Below are 23,507 nucleotides of genomic sequence, written 5' to 3'. Positions count from 1 at the left end.
TTCCCCCCCATTCGTCAATTCCTCAATCATGAGGAATCAGGCCACGCATCCGTCTCGCTGCTTCATGCTGAGGAGGGGCGTCGTGGGCAGCTGCACACCATGGGTGTCCCTGCGGCTTCCCAAGAATCAAAGGTTAATCTGATACTAGAGTTTTTTTCTAAAATGCAATCTTTCTTTCCAATCCCCCACTTCCACCAAAGGCAAATCACAGCAAGAACAACCTACCTGCAAAATAAGCTTCAGTGGCCTGATTACCCACACAAAGTGCAGAAAGAATTATTGTCCTTTTTTTTCTTTTGAGGCAGGGTCCCACTCTGTCACCTAGGCTGCAGTGCAGTGGTATAATCATGGCTCACTGCAGCCTCCACCTTCCAGGCACAAGTGATCCTCCTACTTCAGCCTCCAGAGTAGCTGGACTACAGGCACCACCAGGCCTGGCTAATTTTTAAATTTTTTTGTAAAGACAGGGTCTTACTATGTTGCCCAGGTTGGTCTCAAACTCCTGGACTCAAGCAGTCCTCCCGCCTTGGCCTCCCGAAGTGCTAGGGTTACAGGTATGAGCCACTGTGCCCGGCCAAGAGTCATTGCCTATACAGGCTATCCTAAGTTGGCTTTGCGGGAATATTTCACAAGGAATCTCAGACTCTACCTCAAAGACCTCTCAGGCCAAGCCAAGGATCCATCTGTACCTTCAGATCCCTGCATGAATTGGGAGAACCAGTCTTCTCAAGGTCCCAAAACAACTTGAGGTTCCTGGGCCTGACAGAAAGTGACACGGTCCACTTACCACATGCCCGGAAGTGTGCAAAGGAATTGCATAGACAAGGTATGAGGCCAGTTATTCTAAGAGGTTCTCATTGACTCTATAAAGTCAATCTCAATTTCTCAAAGCAATCTGCTTATTCTGAAAATGTGCCATTCCAGTCAAAGCCCTGGGAGAATAACCAGTTCTTCCAACTTTGTCCCATTATAAAAAACAGATTCCTAATAAATGTATGCAAACAAATACATTGCCATGAATTAAAAATATTTGCATAGTTTCCAAATTCTGGAGAAGTCAGGAAGACAGAGAAAAAAGCTTCAAATTCTGTTTGCAAGAGTATATACTCTACTCAATTTTTAATGGATATAAACAGCTTAAAAGAGAAAAGCTTTCCAGACTCCAAAAAATGAAACAAAAAGAAACAGCAGTGTTTCAAAAAGAAGCCATTAACAATTATTTCGGTCCTCCGTTACCTCAGTCCATGCAGTCACCTCCTGCTTTGCTTCACACTGGGTTAGCAGTCATACCGGGTTAACACCAGCTTTTTAGTTAGAGTCCTGGAAGTTTCCTCTCTAATCCAATGGCACAATCTCCAAAGTTATCAGAAACATGCATTCAATAGTCCTTTCCATGAACTCCCCCAAAGAAGTAAGCCCTGGATGGTAGCTGATTGATTGTAAGTCACTTTGTGAAAAGAAAACAAAACAATAATTGTGGATGACAAAAGTTTTAGGACAGCCATAGTTAAAGACACAGTTGACAAGGAAATTTGGTTATTTCTGTGTCAGACAACAACTTAACAATAATTAGGATAACCACTGGCAACATATATTAAGACAGATCAGAATTTCAGGAATGTCATGCAATCCTGGAACACATAGGAACAACGTATCTGTATACATATAACCTAGAGAAGGTTAAACACCACTTTGCATTTGACAATACTTTCTGTAAAATTCTAACGTGCCAAATAAGCCTAATATGTCTCTCTAGGACTTTAGGGACCCAATACCCCCCAAAAAGGTAGTTTGAGGTAAAGAAGACTGAATTTAAAACTTGAAATTTTGCTTTTGGAGTTTGTCATATATCAAAGGTTAAAGACACTTGATATTATAAAACAGGTTCACAGGTCACTATACAATTGCCAATCCTTTAGCCAAAATAATTCAAATATTTCAAAAAAAAAAAAACCCCACAAAAACCTTTACTCTTTGATTGGAGAATCAGTTTCCCAAACAGTAAGACCTAATAAAGACAGCATGAGGCCAACTGAATCTGTCCCTCCTTTTTTTTTCCCTGCAGTTTACTCAAAAGGGAAACAAAAATATTTTATTATTGCCTGTAATCCCAGCACTTTGGGAGGCTGAGGTGGGCAGATCACAAGGTCAGGAGATAGAGACCATCCTGGCTAACACGGTGAAACCCTGTCTCTACTAAAAATACAAAAAAAAAAAAATTAGCCGGGCATGGTGGCGGGTGCCTGTAGTCCCAGCTACTCGGGAGGCTGAGGCAGGAGAATGGTGTGAACCTGGGAGGAGGAGCTTGCAGTGAGTCGAGATCGCGCCACTGCACTCCAGCCTGGGCAATGGTGTGAGACTAAGTCTCAAAAAAAAATTATCTTTTATTAATGTTCTACAAAAATTTTGTTGAAAAGAGAAAAACAAATTTTACCCTTGTATTATGAATGTTAAAGCTAATTTTAATAAAACCTTGTAAACGAGTCTATTTTAGTCAGTTTAAACATCACAAGGTAAGACTTCCATAAAACGTTTATAACCTTTTACAATTTTCTTTTTCTTTTTTTTTGAGACTGAGTCTCACTCTGTCGCCCAAGCTGGAGTGCAGTGGCAAAATCTCAGCTCACTGCAGCCTCCGCCTCCTGGGTTCAAGTGATTTTCCTGCCCCAGCCTCCTGAGTAGCTGGGATTACAGGCGCCTGCCGCCACACCTAGCTAATTTTTGTATTTTTAGTAGAGGCGAGGTTTCACCATGTTGGCCAGGCTGGTCTTGAACTCCTGACCTAGTGATCCGCCCACCTTGGCCTCCCGAAGTGCTGGGATTACAGGTGTGAGATACCGCGTCCAGCCAACAATTTTCTATTAAAGAGCAAATCAGATCTCAAAGAAAACCCTATTATTTTGACACTGGGGCCCAGACACTGGCCTTGTAACCACGTACTTTTGATATTAATGTTAATTTATAGAAAAACTCTGAACTAGTTTTATCCCTCAGAATTGCCCCTTGCAATCTCATGTGCTCACCTCTTTTACGATAGTCTCTGGGCCTAGAGGGATTGAATAGTTTTAATTTCTGGCCCTGTGTCTCACAAGAGCAGTTCATCTTGATTGACACCTTCTCCCAGGTCTGAAGACCAGCAAGAGCAGAACATCAGCACTGTGGCAGACACAAGTCCCAGTGCTCATGCCCATGCATGCCCATCCACTGGTAACCCAGGGAGGTGGCTGGGGCATCTGAGGCAGAGGGCAGGGCAGGTTCCAGGCAGCTGCTGACTCCCAGGAGGAATGGGACTCTCGGGGTTGCCTCCCTCCACCATGCTGCGCAGTTGTGGCTTCAAGTCCCACTCTAACTGCCAGTCTCACCTGGACCTGGCAGTAGTCCAGGGGTTTCTTTGCTCTTCAATGCATTTTGCACCTTGCAGCTTCCTCTTGGATTCCTTCTGTGCTCTCTGCAGAGTGTCATTGGACATCCTCGTGGAGAGGATCCGTGGTGGGAAACTGAGCCCTCATGTTACTGAAAATGTCACCATGTTACCCTCTTGATTGAATAATAGATTAGCTAGATACAGAATTCTGGTTCCAAACTGTTTTCCCTTAGACCTTTGAAGGTCCTGTCTCACTGTCTTCTGTCCTTCTGGGACTCGTGGGACTTAATGAGAAGTGTGATGCCCCCCTGCCTCCTGTGTCTGTGTAAGGGTTAATTCCCTCCCTCCTTATTAAGTCACCTTAGCACTGGGTCAGAGCTGTGGGTCTGTGAAATTTTCTTGCATTATTTCTCTAGTATTTCTCTCTATTGTGCTCTCCCTACTGGCCTGGAGCTCCTACCTGAGAGACGTTAGAACCCCAGCTCTCTCTCTCATGTACCCTGATTTTGTTTTGGAGTGCTTTATATGTCTTTGTGCTTCTGCTGTTTTGGGGAATTTCCTCAGCTTAATCATTTCCTGATTCACCCCTCAGCTGGGTTGGTTCTGTTATTAGCTCAGTTATTGCTGTTGCTGCTGCTGTTTTAGGGGTGACATAACATGTAAGGAGGGTGTGGCCTCCGGCTGACTGTTGTAGATGCACGGCCCCGTGCGCCTCCTGGTGGCCTGGGCTGTGGTTACCATGGAGCAGCGGGCTGCCCATTCTCCACTTGCCTGCTTGGGTCTGCGTCCCTCTGGGGTCAGTAGATTGTTGCCTGCAGCACCGGCCTCCCCAACATCAGGCGATGCCTGCATTATATTCTCTTTTCTGTCCTCTCACTGCATGCCTCTGCTGGGTATGGACGCTGCTGGCCCTGGTCATGCTTGAGGCTGTGGGTGTTGGGCTGTGTGGAGGTCGCAGGGGCTGCTGTCAAGCTGGGATAGTACTGCTCCTCCTGGGAGTCAGCAGCTGCCTGGAACCTGCCCTGCCCTCTGCCTCAGGTGCCATGTCCCTTGGTCACCGGTGGATGGGCATGCATGGGCACACCCGGCTGCTCTCCCCAAGTTCCTGTGGCTGGTCCTCATGCTGGTGGCTCTTCCCACCATCCAGGCTCACCTGTCTCCCCCTCAGGGGTCCCTCCTGGGTTCTTTTCTCTTTCCTGTTGGAGCGAGGCTGGTCTTTAAGGGACTGGGGAGCATCTCTTGACCCAAAGCCCACTGTCCATTCTCAGCCGGGCTCTCCCTTAGGACGGCAGGGCTGCCTCCAGAGGCCAGGGCCCCTGTGAACACCTCTGCGTCACTGCTGCACAGCAGTGGCCTCTATGGATGCTGTCAGCTGATGGCTGGGGACACTGTGAGTGGAGAATGGACAGGTCAGGGGCTGGAGTCAGGAGGCCACTCAGGAGCTGCACGGCTGTTAATGTGGTGGGCCTGGCAGGGCAGGGAGAGGCTTTTCTTAGAGGAAGTTGTGGACAGTGGCTTAAAATCACACTGGTTCAGGGTGGGCCTTCCTACCTGTGGCCCTGGCAGACAGAGGCATATTAGGCATTGGAAGCAACATGTATGTCTTGCTCAGCGTGTTGGGAGTTTGCCCACACTGCCTTCAGGGACCAGTAGCCTGCACGTTGTGAGGCAGGTGAGGCTGAGAATGGTGCCCTTGGAGTCTCAGCCATTTCCCTGGCATTTGGGTCCCTCAGGTACCTCACCTGTCTCTCCCTACGAGAATGTGCCTCACTGCCCGCCCCGGTGTTTCCTCTGCAGCTGAGCACCCTGACACCACTCCACATCGCTGCCGCCCTTCCTGGGGAGGAGGGGGTACAGATTGTGGAGCTGCTGTTGCATGCCATCACCGATGTGGACGCCAAGGCATCCGACGAGGACGACACTTACAAGCCCGGCAAGGTGTGTACCTCGCGACCTGGATAGGGGTATGGGGCCTTGGCCAGGTGTGCCTGGATGGATTCACACACTCTGCCTAGCCTGTGCTTGCCGAGCATGATGGGCCTCCTGGCTTGGGGCCTGGGCAGTGGAAATCCTGCATAGAAACAACCCGTCCAGATGAGAACCTTAGCCAGTGGGCTTGTTTTGATATCAAGAGGCAAAAATTGTTGATTGGAATGAGTTAAGAACTTGATTATTCAGGCAGTCCACAGGGCGTGGGGGTCCCCATGCGGACCTTTTGCAGGTAACTCCATCTCACGCCTTTCCGAAGGTTCATAATTGCAGACAGAGGCCAGTTCCATGTCCCCAGGGCCTCCTCCAGGCCGAAGCCATCCTGTCCCACCAGGCCCTGCCAAGCTCCAAAAGACCCCCAGTCATGGGCCGCAAGGCCATGTCTTCCTTCCTCCACAAGGGGTTGAGCCCCTTGAGGGCAGGAGCTCTGAGGCTTTCAGTCGCCAGCACACAGCAGGAGCCATTGAGCGCACGAACATGCTGGACATGGTGTGCGCAGCTCACCCACTGCGTGGGGGACGTGGGAGGGGAGGGCACAGAATGGCTCTGACCTCTGTGGATGTTGGGGTGTCTCAGAGACAGGCATGCAGGGAGAGGCTCGAACAAAGTCAGGCATCCGCCTTCAAGAGGGTTTCGCAGGGTGAGACTCCAGACCCGCAGGCTGGGGAGGAAGCTCCCTTGCTCCGTTTGCCTTCCCGTGGGCACACGGCAGGTCCGTGGGCGCTGGCGGAGCCCTCCGTTTTACACAGCTGGACCTGCTGCCCTCAAGTCTGAAGCTCAGCAATGAGCCAGGCCCTCCCCAAGCCTACTACAGCACGGACACAGCCCTCCCGGAGGAGGGGGGCAGGACGGCTCTGCACATGGCCTGCGAGCGGGAGGATGACAACAAGGTGAGGGCAGCCAGGGCCTGGCGGGGGCACAGGGCTGCCCAGCGGTGGGGCCACCTTCCAGGGCCTTGTGCCCCCGGAAGCATGTGTTCTCATGCTGAGTCTTAGGCAGAAGCCAGGGAGCTTGGAAGGATGGGGAGGGAAGCAAGGCAAGGCGGGAGGACGGGATTTCCCACTCACATGCACACACGCACGCCTGCGCACGGGGCCTGGGTGGCGGCATGAAGTCTACTTCTTACCACAGGGCCTGGTCAGACGTGTTTGGGAGCCTCTGGCCTGGGCTGTGACCGTCTGGTGCTGCTGACCCTCCTCTGTCATCCTCATGTGTCTCTGACTCAGGACCTCAGGGTTGGTCTTATCTTCCAGAGCCCTGGGCGGTGCCCCTTTGGCCCTGTGGCCGCTGCCTCCTGCCTGCCTCGAGGGTTAATTCCTACCAAATTGGGTGTGGGAACCACTCCGAGGATGCCCAGCGGCTGGGGTGGATGCGGGGAAACTGAGGCCAAGTCTCAGCTTTGCCGTGTGGCAGCAGATGCAGCCCAAGCCAGTTGGCCACGGAGCACATGGCACACCGAGCCTCAGTTTACCCACTTACAAATGAAATTAATGATCCTGGGCCTTCAGCAAGGTGGTAACTTGTGTGGTCCTGACATGAGCGTGAGGATGAGTGTGCAGGAGTGCCATGTGTGCTAGTGGGCATGCGGGTGACACTGGGATGGGGATGGGCAGACAGGGAGGTGGGGAGGTGGGGGCACTGACAGGCCTCCCTGCTTCAGAACATCCCTGTCTGGTCAGAGCCTCCTTGGAGGGTAGGGAGAAGGAGCAGGTCTGTTGGGTCTTCTTGGGGCCAGGCGCTCTGCCCTGAGTAGACCACCTGAAGGGTGGCAGGAACTCACGTTAGGAATGAACAGTGAGGCTCCAGGAAGGCGGCTGGTCAAGGCTCCCACCGTGAAGGACGAGGCCTGGGCAGTGAACACAGGGCTTTCTGTTCGCACACTTGTGTCCTGATGACAGATTGGGAAAGTTGTGGGGAAATAAAAGGAGACACTGAATGTGACACTATCATTGGGTACAGGACAGACTGGCAGGTGGAACTTCAGTGCTGCAGGCGTGACGGCTGCAGCAGTCCAGCCATCACATCTGTATCCCAGAAGGGAGGGGAAAGGGGTCCCTTTCCCAGGAGCCCCTCAGCAGACTTCTGTGGGCACCTCCTTGGCCTGGCCAGCAAGACTGCGGGAAAGGGGAGTGTGCATGGTGGTTGGGCCAGCCAGACACAGGGTCTGCCGCATCTGAGGGGCACAGTCCCAGCAGAGCACTGGGATAGGGAGCTGGGCCAGAGAAGAGTCCCTGCAGTGGGGGAGGAGGAGTCGCAGAGGTCAGGTCCTAGTGAACACTTCTGGGAGAAGAGGAGGAAGAGAAGGGAGCAGCTGAGGATTGCACAATGGGACGTTCTGACAGGGGAGCAAGGATGAGAGAATGGACAGGAAAACAGAGGGGTTCCCAGGGAGGAGTCAGGGAGGCGGGAAGGGCAGGGACGGGGGAGGAGGGCAGGAGGCAGGGAGGCAGGAAGGGCAAGGATGTGGGGAGGAGGGCAGGAGGCAGGGAGGCAGGAAGGGCAAGGATGTAGGGAGGAGGGCAGGGAGGCAGGGAGGGCACGGACTAGGGAGGAGGGCAGGGAGGGCAAGGACTGGGGGAGGAGGGCAGGGAGGGCACGGATTGGGGAGGAGGGCAGGGAGGGCAAGGATGGGAAGACAAGGGCAAGGAGGCAGGGAAGCAGGGGGGCAGGGAGGCAGGGAGGGCAAGAATGGGGAAGGAGAGCAGGGAGATAGGAAGGGAGGACAGGGACGGGGGAGGAGGACAGGGAGGCACAAAGGGCAGGGACAGGGGAGGAGTCAGGGAGGCAGGGAGGGCATGGATGGGGGAGGAGGGCAGGGAGGCATGGACGGGGCTGCCCTCCTGGTGCAGAGAGTGCTCCACCAGCCGAGGGTGGGGCTCTTTACACTCAGGCCGTCCTCTACGATCACTGAGCCCTGGTGGAGGAGGTGCTCCTCCAGTCACACCTGCTGTATGCCAGGACCTGCCACGTGGTCATGTGGTCTGGACTGTCCCTTGTCCTCTGAAAACAAACTTTAAATCAACTTATGCATCAATGTCCTCCTACTTTTCATTTGGAAGTGATGAATGCTTAGAAAATATCTTCTCCATTTGAAGATCCATCCACCTCCCAACCCATTCACCTATCCATCTATGCATCCACAATTTTGAACACCTTGTGTCAGGCAAGGTAATGGTTGGCAGGAAGTAGCCGTTGAGTGACTACATTGATTTCATGGCATTTAAATTAATGACTACCATCAGGTGCTGCTTATGGGTGGGGGTGCCTCTCTAACCTGTCATTTCTCCCCACCCAGTGTGCCAGGGACATAGTCCGGCTCCTTCTATCCCACGGAGCAAATCCTAACCTGCTGTGGAGTGGCCACTCCCCGCTCTCCCTGTCCATTGCCAGTGGGAATGAGCTGGTGAGCATGTTCTGTACCCACAGACCTGTGCACCTATGTGTTTCCGTCTCCAGTGCCCACCCCACCAGTCCGTCATTGGGATTTGAAGTTGTTGGCCATTTATCCATCCATCCATCCATCCATTCATCCATCCACCCATCCACTCACCCACCCATCTATCCACCCAACTACCCATTCACTCACTCTTCCACTCACCTGTCTACCCATCCACCCATTCTTCCATCCATCCATCCACCTGTCCACCCAACTTCTCATCCACTTATCCATCTACTCACCCATCCATCTACCCTCCACTCATCCATTCATCCATCCTTCCACCCAACTACCCACCCACTTATTCATCCTCTCATCCATCCATCTATACATCCATCCTTTTAACCAGTCACTCATGTATCAACCCAACTACCTATCCACTCAACCGTTCACCCATCCATTCATTCACCTATTCACCCATCCGTCTGTCCATCCATCCATCCATCCATTCATCCATCCACCCACCCACCCACCTACCTAGACATCATCATCCTTCATTCACCCAGTTGGAAGGATCTACCGTCCACCCATTCATTCATTCATTCATTCATTCATCCATCTATCATTTAACTGTTATTTACTGAGCATCTGCTACGTACCTGGCAGGCACCATTCTAGGCACTAGGTGTTGAATTAAACAGTCTCTGCTCTCAAGGATCCTATATTCTCGTTGGAGGAGCCAGGCCATAAACTAGTATGTAACACAGTTTCAGGAAATGACAAGTATTATAAAGAAAATAAAGCTTAGTGAGGGGATGGAGAGTGATGGGAAGGCAGGCTACTTTAGCAGGGTGGCATGAAATGCTTCTCAGATGAGGTGACATTTCAGCAGAGGTCTGCAAAAGCTGAAGGCATTCATAGAATTTGTGAAAGCTGACGTAGAATGGGGCTTCCAGGTGCTTCTGCAGAGGCCAGCACCTCTGCTCCCTGCTTTCTTCTCTCCTGCACGGAGTCATCCATTCAATAAGTCATGTGGGGCCCCTGCTCAGGGCTAGGCCCTGTTAGAGGCAGGGGTGTGGAGGGAAGAGAGCTTTGTTCTGAGGGGCAGAAGCTTGTGAGAGCCAAACACTAAGGACCCGTGTCTGGCCACGGCTGTCCTTCTTCCTGGGTGGAATCTGAGCTGGCGGCTGGGCACACAGCAGGGAGAAGGGAGGTGTGCCTCTTTCTGTGCCTGGCCGAGTGGTCACATTGACACTGGTGCCCCGGTGCAGAGGCAGATAGCCTGGGCACCAGGCAAATGTGCTCCTAACCCTGTGCTGGGACTGGCCCCTGGGCTTGGCTCTGTCTGGGGCTGAAGAGCAAGGTGGGAGCTGGGAACCACGCTGGAGAATCCCCATTTTGTCAGGGGACAGAGAAAGTGCTGGAACTGGCCCACCTGGGTGGAGTTCCAGCTCCTCCCTAACAGACCAGCCATGGGACCCCTCCCCGCCCAGCATCATCCTCTGTGGGACAGGCCAGCAGCGGGACCCACTGTGGGTAGGATCCGTGGGAAGGGCCAGCGGTGGCCTCCGTGAAGCCCCTGCTTTCAGGGGTTAGTTCTGGAGTGGCCCAGCCCTGGGGCCTTCCCCTCTGTCAGGGGAAGTGACATGGTGGCCACTGATGAGACTGTCTGTGTATGTTCAGGTTGTGAAGGAGCTCCTGACCCAGGGAGCTGACCCCAACCTGCCCCTGACCAAAGGCTTGGGCAGTGCCCTGTGTGTTGCCTGTGACCTGACCTACGAGCACCAGAGGAACATGGACAGCAAGCTGGCCCTGGTGAGGGGCAGGAGGCTGGGGTGGCCCTGGTGAGGGGGTTTGAGGGTGGTGGGGTGGCCCTGAGTGAGGGGTGTGAGGGCTGGGTGGCCCTGATGAGCGGGGAGGGGAGTGGGTGGCCCTGGGTGAGGGGTATAAGGGCTGGGTGGCCCTGGGTGGCAGGGGTGTGAGGGCTGGGTAGCCCTGGTGAGGGGGGGCGGGAGGTTGGGGTGGCCCTGGGTGAGGGGAGGGAGGAGTGTGAGGTGGGCTGGCCCTGAGCATGGGGAATGTGGGGTCTGGGGGTGGGGTCCTCATGGACTTCTCTGCCTGGCTGTCATTCCTGGCGGGCGGTGGGTCATTTGTTCTGTGTTCTCCAAGCCTTGGTGGTCTAAATAGTGGAGAAAGGACAAAATATTGTCTGCTTTTAGTATTTTACAGGCCTTAAAAAATATGAAGTGGCAAATCCACTCAGCAGACCAGACAAAAAAGTTCCCTGAAATTTGTCTCGGTGAAAACAAGATTCAGGATAGACATAGACCTCACCTTGGTCCAGCTGCACAATTCTGGCTTTCTCAGTGGTCCACGCAGCTGCTGGGCGGGGGTTTGGGGCATTGTCTCCTGGCCACAGGGAGCGGCTTTCTTAGGTGGAAGCTCACAGTCGGGAAATCCTGCCCGCGCTGGAGACACCTTCTGTCCTGAGCCCTAGGCACGTCCCTGGAGTGTCCCTCCCATGTGGCTCTGGGAAACTCTCAGTGGCTTTGGCTCAGGCAGGGCCTCCCTCTGTGCCCTGCTGCCTGCTGCCCTCCGCCCATGCCAGCCCTTCCTGTGTCCGCTGTGGGCACCACCCACGACCTTGCTTTCCTCAATCCATCTTGGTACACACTTTGGTTCTTACCTGTCTGAGGGAGAAAAAGGGGGAAGGAGGAGGGGGGTGAGACTCAGGCGTCTGGAATGGGGGGCGAGACCCAGGCATTTGGAAGGGGAAGGGCGAGACTCAGGCGTCTGGAAGGTTGTTTGACGTCACAAAAGGGTAGCTTTACTTAAAAGAACTGAGACTTATCTTGAGATGCTGTTTCCAGATCTGATTTTAAGTCTCCTGTCCTTCTTCCTAAGACCCTGTTCTGTCTGGATAGACTAAGTGAGGACGCAGAAGTCAGTTTTCCATAGGCGGCAGAGGATGGAATGAAACAGTGTGTGTGGGTAGTCGGCACCATTTCTGGACCTGGGGGCTGGGAGGGGCCCCCTAATGTTCTTTCGGAGCTTCATAGGGCCCAGGATTGATGACCAGTCTCTTGTTCATCTAAGTCTGAGTAAATAGAGAAAGGACGCGAGACGGGAGAGGCAGCTCAGGGGGCAGCGTTGTTGTGTGTGGACGCTGAATGTGCCTTGAACATACAGAATAGTCCTTCGTCCGGGGTTGGGGGCTCCCAGCGCCTCATCCGGGGTTAGGGGGCTTCCCAGCGACTTGTCCAGGGTTGGGGGCTCCCCAGCACCTCGTCCAGGGTTAGGGGGCTCCCCAGCATCTTGTCCGGGGTTAGGAGGCTCCCCGGTGCCTCATCCGGGGTTAGGGAACCTGGTAGTGCTGCCAACCCTAACCATGCTGTCTGCTTCCACTGGATATTTAGGAAGGGGAAGGGCTCCTTTTTTTAAACCTCCCTTAAATGGTCTCATCTCTGACTGTTGTGTGCTGTGAGCTGATTCCTGGTCCTTTGCTGTGATCCTGGCCCTGACTCCTGCCTGGCTTTCTGGGGCATCCAGGTGACCCCTACATACCACGTATATTCTCACCCCAGACCTGAAATCAGCTGACTGGGCTTCGACTTCTTTATTTCATTACTGTTTGTTTATTTACTAATTTTAATTCTTTTCAGACTCACAGAAAAGTTGAAAGCAGTACAAGGACACCCTGAGCCCTCACCTAGACTCACCACTTCTGAGTACCTGACCATGCCCCCAACTCTGGCCCTGTCTGTCTCTGTCTCTGTCTCCCCTGCCCTCCCCCTCAGCCAATGGACACGTTTCTCTTCAAGAGCCTGCTTTCAGTTCTTCTGGGAACTTGCCTGGAAGTGGGATGGCTGGGTCCTATGGTATAATCATTCTATGTTTAATTTTTTTTTTTTTTGAGTCAGAGTCTCACTCTGTTACCCAGGCTGGAGTGCAGAGGTGTGATCTCAGCTCATTGCAACCTCCGCCTCTCAGGTTCAAGCAATCCTCCTGCCTCACCCTCCCGAGTAGCTGGGATTACAGGTGTGCGCCACCACACCCGGCTGATTTTTATATTTTTAGTAGAGACGGGATTTCACTATGTTGGTCAGGCTGGTCTTGAACTCCTGACCTCAGGTGATCCGCCCGCCTCAGCCTCCCAAAGTGCTGGGATTACAGGCCTGAGCCACCGCGCCCGGCCATACGTTTAATGTTTTGAAGAACCTCCATACTATTTCCACGGCAGCTGCACTGTTTCATGTTCTCACCAACAGTGCACAGAGTTCCAGTCACTCCAGACTATCACCAAGACTTGTTATTTTCTGTTTTTTTGATAGTAGCCATCCTAATGGATGCGAGATGGTATTTTATTGTGTGTATGTGTGTGTGTGTGTTTAACAGAGTCTCACTCTGTCGCCCAGGCAGGAGTGCAGTGATGTGATCTCTGCTCACTGCAACCTCTACCTCCCGGGTTCAAGTGATTCTTGTTGGGATTACAGGCGCCCACCACCACACCCAGCCAATTTTTGTATTTTTAGTAGAGATGGGGTTTCGCCATGTTGGCCAGGCTGGTCTCGAACTCCTGGCCTCAAGCGATCCACCTGTCTTGGCCTCCCAAAGTGCTGGGATTACAGGCGTGAGCCACCACACCCGGCCTTCTCATTGTGGTTTTGTTGATTCGTATTTCCCTAATGATTAGTGATGTTGGACATCTTTTCATGTGCTTATTGGCCATTTCTATATCTTATTTGGAGAAATGTCTATTCAACTCCTTTGGCAATTTTTGAATCTTTTTTTTTAATATTATTGAGTTTTAGGACATTTCTATCTATTCTAGATGTTAATCCCTTATCGGGTATGTAATTTATAAATATTTTGATATACAAAAGTTTTTAATTTTCATGAAGTCCAGCTTGTCTATTTTTTCTTTTGTTGCCTTTGCCTTTGGTGTCATAGCCAAGAAACGTCATGAAGCTTCTTCCTGTGTTTTCTTCTAAGAGTTTTATAGTTTCAGCTAGGACCTTTCACGAATACTTTTCCGTAGCCTCCTGGAGAATCTGGTGCTTTTCTCTATGATGGTTTCATGGGATCTGAGTCCAGAGAGTCCCTGAAACCCTAGGGGTGCCCTGGCTTGGGGGTATACATAAATGATGGTGCTGCAGGACCCTTCTGCTAGAGGCCTGGGCTGCCTGGGTCCTGGCGAAGCCTCCATCTCCCACCACGTCTTGCTGTTCAGGCTGTGGCAGAACCTTGTTTCAGGGGCTCTTCCTCTGGGCACTCCTGTGGCTGCTGCAGCAGACCATAGCCTGGGCGGCTGAAGCCACAGAAATGAGCTGGCTCTGGTCCTGGAGGATGGAGGCCGCGATCGAGGTGTTGCAGGGTTGTGACCCTGGTGCAGACCTCGCTGTGGCTTCTGGGGGCTTGGTGGCCACCTCTGCCCTCCTCAGCTCATGGTGCTCTGCCTGCATGCATGTCTGTCTCTGCAGCCAAAAGTCCCTTCTTAAAAGACAATGGTCATATTGGACCAGGTACCACCCTAAGGACCTCATGTTACTTTGATCGTCTGCAACGACCCTATGTCCAAATAAAGTCACGTTCACAGATCCCGGGGTTTAGGACTTCAACTTACCTTTTTAGGGGACCCAGGTGAACCCACCACACATGGCTTCGGCGTTTTCAGTCCTCTTCTCCTTTCTCCTTGGCTACTGTTCTTGGCCTCGGCCCATGGTGAGCTTGTGGGATGCACAGGCCTGAGGTGGAGCTTGTTCAGGGTCTGGGGTCACCAGGCCTCCTGAATATTCTCACACTAAACTTTCTAAAGATTGTCCCAGAAATGAACGCGTGAAGCTCGAACCTTGACCCTGGGCCCCCCTGACTCCCTGGGCCCCGCCATTTGGATGGCTGCAGCACCAGGCATGGGTTCCACATTTGTCTTTGAACGGCCAAGGAAGGGGCTGCCAGAACATGGGTTAGCAGTGTCTGGAGAAAAGCCACTGCAGAAAGGAGCTTTCATCAGCCAGGGGACCTTCAGAAAGTCCCCTCCAGGGGGACAAAATCCTCTTCTCACGAACATTTCTAGCTCCTCTCACTGGGCAGCCTCTGCTGAGATATGGGGCCCCAAATTTCCCTAATTTGAGAGCAGAGCAAATCCCACTGAAAGATCCATGTTCAAGCCCACTGATCCTGAGAAACTCCTCAGAGACACACGCTGGGCTGGTCAGCCTCAGGCCGCCCCTTCCTCTTACCGGAAAGGTCCCAGCCTTCCCTCCCGGTGCCGTTCAGCAGGGTTTGTGGTCTCAGAGGCAGAGCCCCTGGGCAGGGCTGGTTTCTAGAGTGTGCTGATGCTGCTGGGGTCTAAAGAGGTGTGGAGGACAGGGCCACTGGAGAGACGGGCTCTGGGGATGGAGGGGCCAGCTCATCCAGCTGCAGCCGAGGGCATGCCTGGGGAGCCTCAGCAGGGGAACGGGGTCATTGGGCCGTGGAGGTGGGGCAGGGGGCCTGGGGGTGTAGGGCGGAGGCAATGATGTCATAGTTCAGATGTGGGGGCTTGGGAGGGGAGGGTCTGGAGGAGAGTGTTGGTGAGTGAGGGGCGGATGCAGTGATGTCATAGTTCAGATGTGGGGGCTTGGGAGGGGAGGGTCTGGAGGAGAGCGTTGGTGAGTGAATGGTATAGCACTGGGACAGCAAAGTGTATCTCAGTTCTCACCGTGGATGAGGTGGTCACTCTGGGCAGCCAGGGCCAGGGTGGGAAGACACTCCTGGTGAGCGACGGGCAGGTCAGCAGATGGGGAGGGGCTGTGGTTGGGGAGGAAGGGGTGAGGACATGGGACCTGGGGCGAGAAAGCCTCAGGCCAAAGCACACACTGCATACCCTGCTGGGGCTGGCTGTCCCCAGTGACTCCCAGGGGTTGGGGTCAGTGTGGAAGGGTCTGTGGAGACGTGGGAGCTGTGGGGATGCAGAGGTTCCCAGGAATGATGTTTGGGCAGAGGCTTCTGCTGAGATGTTGGGCCAGAGGGGAGAAGGTGCCCAGCAGGGTGAGACTAAGAGGTGAATCCCAGGTGCTGCTGAGTAGCCAGTCCTGGGAGCCTGGGGGTGGGGTGGGGTAGGTGGCTGCATCACTGCCCTGGCAGAGCTGTCCAGAGAAGCCGTCCCGGTGCCAGGACTGAGTGAGGCCTGGGTGCCCTACGTAGACAAGACTTGGGGGGTGGGGGTGGGCTGGCAAGTCCCCCAGCAACATTGGGCAGGGAAAGGTCGATCCATCATCCACCCACCTGTCCATCACCACACCCCTGTGGCAGCCTGTACCCAGCCCTCGCTTACCAACCATCTGCCCACCTTTTCCTGAAAAAGATTTGATGAGGTGGTGGGGCCTCGGAGGGATGTCCAGCAGGGAACCGACTCATGGGACTTTTGGCAAGTTATCATGGCTTCCGCAGGAAGGAGAGTGAAGACGATGGGGGTCTCATGGGTGGATCTGGCTGGCTCCATCCTCAGGAGCAGTGGAAAGCAGCCTCCTCCTCTGCCTGGCGTAGGCCTTGCCTGGCCTCACTTGGCCTTGAGGAATCTGTATAAACTCCACCCATGCCCCCATGTGCCAGGGAGTCAGCCGTTCAGGCCAGGCTGGCCACTAGTGTTGGTGGCATTGGCCATTCCACCGTCCCGCACTGTGCCTGGTGCCATGCCCGAGGCGTTGTGCTCATGTGTTGCTGAGAATGCAGGGCTCCAGTGTTTGCGTGGAATGTGTGTTACGCATGTCACAGAGTGTGAGGATCTCACTGGGGGAGTTGTGTATCCCTGATTTCTGGCCGTGCTTGCACTTGGCTAGCAAGGCACACACGCACACAGCAGTGAGCCTTCCACAGATGATGGCCTGGTTTCCATCCACTCACACAGGCTGCCCTGAGCCTGCCAGGCCCCCTGATAGAACTTGCCTCCTCCCATGTCAGGTGGGGCAGCCTCTTTAGATGATATTTGCTTTGGATGGGATTGTTGTACCTATTGAGCCAGAGACCATTGCTGTGGTATATTTGCCACAAGTCAGGCACACATGCACATAGGTGCATGCATTCACACATTTGTCAGGCATACTTGCACTCACTCACAAACACACATGCATGCCCTTACTCATACATGCACACACACTGGCCCCCACTCATGCACAGACACGCATGCACGCACACATACTGCACACCTACCCACCTATGAACATGCATGCACATATCCACACACGCTCACCCACTAGCCCCACACCTGCACACACACACACATATCCACACACCCACATACACGCAGGCACACACCCAGCCACCCATGAACACACATACACATACCCATGCATGCACACACACTGGCCCCCCGCCCCACACACATCTACATACAAGCATACGCGTGCACTCGCTGTCTTGTTGAGCAACATGCCCCCTGGCGTGTTGGGATCTGATGAAGAACAAGAGCTGCCCGGTGTCTGCCTCATGTCACTGACAGCCTGAGGGGAGCAGGACTGTAATGGATGTCACAGACTCTGTCGATTCTATGGTGCTGGGAGTCGGGTGCCAGGGAGGGCTCCCCGAGGCGTGGCCTAGCCTTGACTTCGCTGTGACATCATTAGGGCGAGGCTCAGCCCCAACTCCTTGTCCTTGAGGTCAGCCCCGTCTCCATCTCCCTCTCCCCGTTTGTCTCATGGGCATTCCCGCACACTGCAAGGGCGGCCTTGGTGGGGACTGCAGGTGACCATGGCCCTTCTCAGGCGGTGCTTCCGCTGCTCCCAGTAGCCGGGATGTCCTTGCGTGTTTGACCTGGTTCTGTTCTCCACAGATTGACCGACTCATCAGTCACGGGGCCGACATCCTGAAGCCTGTAATGCTCAGGCAGGGAGAAAAGGAGGCAGTGGGCACAGCCGTGGACTATGGCTACTTCAGATTCTTCCAGGTAGGTGGTGAGCCTCCCATGAGGAAGGAGGGGGAGTGTGGGTCACGTGCAGGGCCCCCGGCTGGGGCATTAGCTTCTCTGGGGCAAAGCTGGGCTCAAGGTTCCTAGCGCCGCCCCCAGAGCAGCCCCTTGGCTGCAGAGGTGAACCCCCCAAAGTGCTGAGCTCATGCCAGGTGCAGCTGTATGTGCTCCCAGCTTTGTGTGTCTGTCTGGGTTCGTCCTCAGTTATATATCACAAGAGCTGACAGGAGCCCTCGATCACCGAGAGTCACCCCAGCAGTGAGGGGCGGGCCCGGGACCCTGTGGTGACCCTGGTGCTGTGCCGCAGGACCGGAGGATTGCCCGCTGCCCCTTCCACACGCTGATGCCAGCAGAGCGCGAGACGTTCCTGGCGCGGAAGCGGCTCCTGGAGTACATGGGCTTGCAGCTACGGCAGGCTGTCTTTGCCAAGGAGAGCCAGTGGGACCCCACGTGGCTGTACCTGTGCAAGAGAGGTGAGCAGTGGGCCCTGCTCTGCTCTGCTCCACAGGGCGGCGTTCCGGCCTCGTGCCTGGGGCTGTTATCCCTGGAGATCTGGACCCCCTGGGGCTCTTGGAGGGGCCTTCCTGGGGCTGGGCTCGTCGGCTTGTCCCCTTTGTGTCCCGTCGTCCAAGGAGCTCGTCCAGGAGAGACTGAGAAGTGGGGTCTGGACTGGGGAGATGTCCCTGGGAAGAGGAGTTGGTGGCCTAGGGCCAGGGCCCAGGTCAGAGGGGCCCCACGCCCAGGAGAGAACTAGGCACTGCTGCGGGAGCCCTGTCAGGAGTGCCAGTCTATCCGGCACAGGGACTGTGGGCCCGAGGCCTGGGGTGCTGCTCCCCTGCATGGTCACACCCCTCCCTACAGGGTGCATCCTGCACACCCCTACATGTCCCCAGCTCCCCACATGCACCCACTCCACAAACGCAGTACCTACTGACATCTACTCCCCCATGTACCCACACCCACGTACTCAACCCCACCCACCTAGTCACTCCCACATACCCACCTCCCACCCACCTGGTCACCCCCACCCCCACATAGTCACTCCCTACCCCCACATCCCCACCCACCTACTCACCCCCACCCCCACATACCCCCTCATGTTCCCACCCTCACATTTACCTACTCTTGTCTACCTCGCACACACAGACCCACTTACACATCCACACACACTGATACCCACAGCCATCCTCTCCTCACATAAAAACCTGTCACGTGTTAACACGTGTGTGCACACACACACCGGAACCTGCTGATCCCGCCCCCACACCGAGCCCTCAGCATGCAGTAGCCTCCTGCAGCCTCACACAGTCCCCCACTGAGCAACACCCCAGGTGCCTTCCCAGCACACAGTGCTCCGCCCCACACACTTCCACGTGCTGTTAGTCCGTTTGCGTTGCTGTAAAGGAACACCTGAGACTGGGTAATTAGAAAAGAGGTTTAATAGGCTTGTGGTTCTGCAGGCTGCACAGGAAGTGCGGTACCAGCATCTGCTTCTGGAGAGACCTCAGGGAGCTTCCACTCCCAGTGGAGGGCGAAGGGGAGCCTGTCCATCACATGGCAAGAGAGAGAGGGAGAGAGAGAAGGCGGGGGTGTCCCAGGCTCTTCTAAACTCCCAGCTGTCATGTGAACTAACTGAGAACTCACTCGTCCCCAAGGGGATGGCACTAAGCTACTCATGAGGGATCCATCTCCACGATCTAGTCACCTCCTACCAGGCCCCACCTCCCACAGGGGGGCCCACAGTTCAACATGAGATTTGGAGGGGACACACATCCAAACTACATGGCATGCTTGTGTCCCCACAAATATTTAGCCAGCCACAGGCCCACCCACACGCTTGCATACTCCTCAGGACACACGCCCTGAAACCCTCAGCTCCACCCCCACAGCTGCCCGCACACCCCCTCAGCTCCACCCCCACAGCTGCCCGCACACCCCCCTCAGCTCCACCCCCACAGCTGTCTGCACACCTACCCACACACGTGCCTGTCCCCACCCACACAGCACACTGCTTCCCCGCATCCCACCCAACCACAATCTGCATACATCTCCACACACATACGGACACCCCACACCCACCTCCCAAACTCACTTATGTGCCGTCACACATGTGCCCACCCATGCATAAACCCCCCCCACCCCCAACACCTGCCCCATCCAACCCCAGCCCTCACCAACTCACCCACTGCCACCCATGCCTTACACATGCACACAGCCACAAGCCACTCCCATATGTCCCCCCCCAACACAAACATACTAACCTCCCCTCGACACAAACATAAACTTCTTCCCACCTGGCTCGCCCACCAGCACACATGAATGCACCTTTGCTGAGGCTACTTCCTGGCCAGGGTTCCTGCAAGGTGAGGCCTCCATTTGTGTAGAGCCCCACTTGGGGGATACAGGCTCTGCCTTGGGCATGACACCCCTGAGGATACTGGGGTTCTAATCAGGCTTGTACTGGCCCATGAGCGGAGGACCAGGCAGGGAGAGGCAAGTTGCGAAGACCCATGTCTACTGCCTCCTCCTTTCCATCAGAGATTAGGTCCTAAAACGGAGGTGTCACTTACGGAGAAGTATCCCATTGTCCCGACCCCCAGCTCCACAGCCTTGGCTCAGTGATTTTTGCCCAGGGGAGAGACACACCATAAAACAGTGAGCTTCACACCTCATCACAAAGAAACCGATTTCATTTTTAACAGAGCAAAGACAGTTTCAAGCCTAATGTTGAGAGGCATTTGGAAGGAGATTGGTAAATTCACTGGAGTAACAGACTAAACTATAGACTGGCTAATTGCTAGAGAAAACTAAGAAAAGAGAGACAGGAGAAGCCTTCCTGTGGTCATAACAAGTCTCACACACCCCAAGGACTGATCTAAAGAGCACACAGCATACAAAGAAACATTTATTCAATAAAATCTTTTAAAATTCAGTAAGAACAGAGAATGTCTGTGGTATTAAACCAAGGTCTACCTTCCTTTTCACCCTCCCAGCTCAGGGAGGCAGAAACTCTATTCCAGACCAGTACAGCCAAGAACACAGTAGAAGAGGGCATGGATGTCAATAATTCTCATCCTGCCCCCAGCTACCTGTTGCTGAGGCTAAGTTCCTGTTGCTTCAGACTTACTGTGCTTCCAAGATGGCCAGGAGGTGGCGGCACCATTCTTATGCTCAGCTTCCAAGATGGGGAGGAGGTGGCAGCTCCATTCTTATCCTCAGCTTCCAAGATGGCGAGGAGGTGGCGGCTCCATTCTTATGCTCAGCTTCCAAGATGGCGAGGAGGTGGCGGCTCCATTCTTATGCTCAGCTTCCAAGATGGCGAGGAGGTGGCGGCTCCATTCTTATCCTCAGCTTCCAAGATGGCCAGGAAGTGGTGCACTCAGAATTACTGGAGGTTATGATGGGCAATATTAAGAAGATTGGTAAACTTACTGGAAATATAGGTGAAACTATAATCTGCCAGCAATTATATACCATGGTTTGTATTAACTATAAATTATGCCAGAGAAAAATAAGGAAAGATAGCTGGGAAGAGCCCTCCTGTAGTCAGAACCAATCTTCAATACTGACCTTTGGAACTATCCCTTCAATGAGCTCTGATCGAATTCTAATTGGATCAGTCTAGGAAGCCATTTATACCCCAGGGCACTGTTGCAAATTATGAACAATCAGCCAGCAATTATCAGAACTAAACAGGAGCGTTTGGTCATGGAAGGAGACAGTCAAAGAGATCCTTGTCCAAACCACCGTCACCTTAGGGTCACTGTGAACAAACCCAAGGCTGCCTTCCATGAGAAGGAACCTCAGAAGCTTTATAATGCAGGGGAGAAATGGATTTCACACAATTAACCCAGCTGGTCATTAACCAAATAAGCAAACAGATAGTAATATCCAGCCCCAAGGGAGAAGAATGAAGGAAAATGAACATGTCCTCAGAGAAAAGTGGGAGACTAAGAGAGAAAAAAGAATGATGAGAAATGAAGAGATCATCAGGGGAAAGTGGACACCATCAAGCACATCTATCTATCTATCTATCTATCTATCTATCTATCTATCTATCTATCTATCTATCTATCTAATTAGAGTACCAGAAGCAGAGGTGAGAGAGAAAGAAGCAGGAAGAATATTTGGAGAAATGATAGATAAAAACTTTCTAAACATATTTAAAAATAATTTATCTATCTAGGAAGCTTAATGGAGTTTCAAGTAGGATAAAACAGAGATTTGTAAAACAGACACATCAGAGTTAAAATACTGAAAGTCAAAGACAAGGGGAAAACATTGAAAGCAGCAAGAGAAAAATAACTCAAAATTTACAAGGGAATCCCAGTAAGATTAACAGCTAGCCAGCATCTCATCAGAAGAAATTGGTTGGAGGGTGGTCAAGATGGCTGATAAGCATTTCATGCCCACTTCTTCCACTTAGTAGAACCAGAGCAGTGTACAGACAGTCACACTCAAAGTACATTATCCAAGAGAGAATGCTGGAACTCAACAGAGAAGTGACAGGGAACACCAAAAGTGGGGAAGGAGGAGGAGAGGCAGCCTCTCTGGCTGGGTTCGGCTGGGCATCAGGAGTGAATTCCCAATATAGGGAAGAGGTGAGTAGGTGTAGGGGCCAGCCCTACAGGGTCTGTGAGTTTTTCTCCCCATGTGTGGAGACAGGAGATTGTAGAAATAAAGACACAAGACAAAAAGATAAAAGACAGCTGGGCCCGGGGGACAACTACCACCAAGACGTAGAGACCGGTAGCATCCCTGAATGCCAGACTGTGCTGTTATTTATTGGATACAAGACAAGGGGGCAGGGTAAGGAGTGTGAGCCATCTCCAATGATAGGTAAGGTCACATGGGTTACATGTCCACTGGACAGGGGACCCTTCCCTGTTTGGCAGCCGAGGTGGAGAGAGAGAGGAGAGACAGCTTACGCCATTATTTCTGCATTTCAGAGACTTTTAATACTTTCAGTAATTCTGCTACTGCTATCTAGAAGGCAGAGCCAGGTGTACAGGGTGGAACATGAAAGTGGACCAGGAGCGTGACCACTGAAGCACAGCATCACAGGGAGACGGTTAGGCCTCCGGATAACTGTGGGCGGGCCTGACATCAGTCAGGCCCTCCACAAGAGGTGGTGGAGTAGAGTCTTCTCTAAACTCCTCTGGGGAAAGGGAGACTCCCTTTACCTTTCCCGGTCTGTTAAGTAGTGGGTACTTTTCCTTGGCACTGACACTACCGCTAGACCACGGTCCGCTTGGTAACGGGCGTCTTCCCAGACACTGGTGTTACCGCTAGACCAAGGAGCCCTCTGGTGGCCCTGTCCGGGCATAACAGAAGGCTCACACTTGTCTTCTGGTCACTTCTCACCATGTCCCCTCAGCTCCTATCTCTGTATGGCCTCGTTTTTTCTAGGTTATGATTGTAGATCGAGGATTATTACAATATTGGAATAAAGAGTAATTACTACCAAGTAATGATTAATGATATTTATATATAATCATATCTATGATCTGTATCTAGTATAATTCTTGTTATTTTATATGTTTTATTACACTGGAACAGCTTGTGCCCTCTGTCTCTTGCCTCGGCACCTGGGTGGCTTGCCACCCACAAGTAGGAGATTTCTAATGGCCCACTTCCTCACCATGGAATCATGCAATCCTGGCAAGACAACCCCTTGACCCTCCCAACCCTTGAAGCGAATATAGGAAGCTTCCAGGAGACTGTGGGATGGAAGAGCTCCAGGAAGGAAGGTTGCACTGGGTTCCACACCCTTTCTGAGACCTAAGTGGCCTCAGCAAGTCACCATTTTCAAAACTAGCCTCTGGAAAACTACA

The 23,507-nt window shown here is 53.1% G+C and overlaps 1 protein-coding gene across 69 annotated transcripts in view, besides 4 other annotated features; it reads left to right on the top strand.

The window, feature by feature from the left end:
• The window catches only part of ANKMY1 (ankyrin repeat and MYND domain containing 1), a 92,433-nt gene that overhangs the window by 42,961 nt on the left and 25,965 nt on the right, over positions 1 to 23,507 (top strand). For 11 of the 69 annotated variants that reach the window (NR_171696.1, NR_171693.1, NM_001393464.1 and 8 more), the window contains 4 exons: positions 5,162 to 5,302; positions 10,413 to 10,544; positions 17,539 to 17,652; positions 17,981 to 18,146. Coding sequence is in view for 59 of the 69 variants with exons in the window: in NM_001393464.1 (NP_001380393.1) it covers positions 5,162 to 5,302; positions 10,413 to 10,544; positions 17,539 to 17,652; positions 17,981 to 18,146 (553 nt within the window). In the remaining 10 variants the exon portion in view is untranslated. Of the gene's footprint in view, positions 1 to 695; positions 2,077 to 5,161; positions 5,303 to 6,102; positions 6,244 to 6,484; positions 6,589 to 8,648; positions 8,757 to 10,412; positions 10,574 to 17,538; positions 17,653 to 17,980; positions 18,147 to 20,375; positions 20,610 to 20,666; positions 23,141 to 23,507 lie in introns of those variants that run through there. The other 58 variants (NR_148697.3, XM_047444685.1, XM_047444650.1 and 55 more) reach the window with 22 other exon arrangements.
• Positions 3,687 to 3,806: an enhancer, noted in NCBI's record as "active region_17396". NCBI's record gives its function as "activates an Ori minimal core promoter by ATAC-STARR-seq in GM12878 lymphoblastoid cells {active_cell/tissue: GM12878}" and the evidence as "EXISTENCE:reporter gene assay evidence [ECO:0000049][PMID:35858748]".
• Positions 3,938 to 4,232: an enhancer, noted in NCBI's record as "tiled region #11390; HepG2 Activating DNase matched - State 12:CtcfO, and K562 Activating DNase unmatched - State 12:CtcfO". NCBI's record gives its function as "activates a minimal TATA promoter and a strong SV40 promoter by Sharpr-MPRA in HepG2 and K562 cells {active_cell/tissue: HepG2 | K562}" and the evidence as "EXISTENCE:reporter gene assay evidence [ECO:0000049][PMID:27701403]".
• Positions 13,562 to 14,062: an enhancer, noted in NCBI's record as "H3K4me1 hESC enhancer chr2:241443459-241443959 (GRCh37/hg19 assembly coordinates)". NCBI's record gives its function as "activates a minimal SCP1, AML or CMV promoter by ChIP-STARR-seq in primed H9 embryonic stem cells {active_cell/tissue: H9 hESC(primed)}" and the evidence as "EXISTENCE:reporter gene assay evidence [ECO:0000049][PMID:30033119]".
• Positions 17,652 to 18,152: an enhancer, noted in NCBI's record as "H3K4me1 hESC enhancer chr2:241439369-241439869 (GRCh37/hg19 assembly coordinates)". NCBI's record gives its function as "activates a minimal SCP1, AML or CMV promoter by ChIP-STARR-seq in primed H9 embryonic stem cells {active_cell/tissue: H9 hESC(primed)}" and the evidence as "EXISTENCE:reporter gene assay evidence [ECO:0000049][PMID:30033119]".

This window comes from Homo sapiens, chromosome 2 (genome assembly GCF_000001405.40).
Source record: "Homo sapiens chromosome 2, GRCh38.p14 Primary Assembly".
NCBI classification, from domain to species: Eukaryota; Metazoa; Chordata; class Mammalia; order Primates; family Hominidae; genus Homo; species Homo sapiens.
Note: the sequence above shows the minus strand (reverse complement) of the source record. Positions and strands in the feature narration are given on the sequence as shown.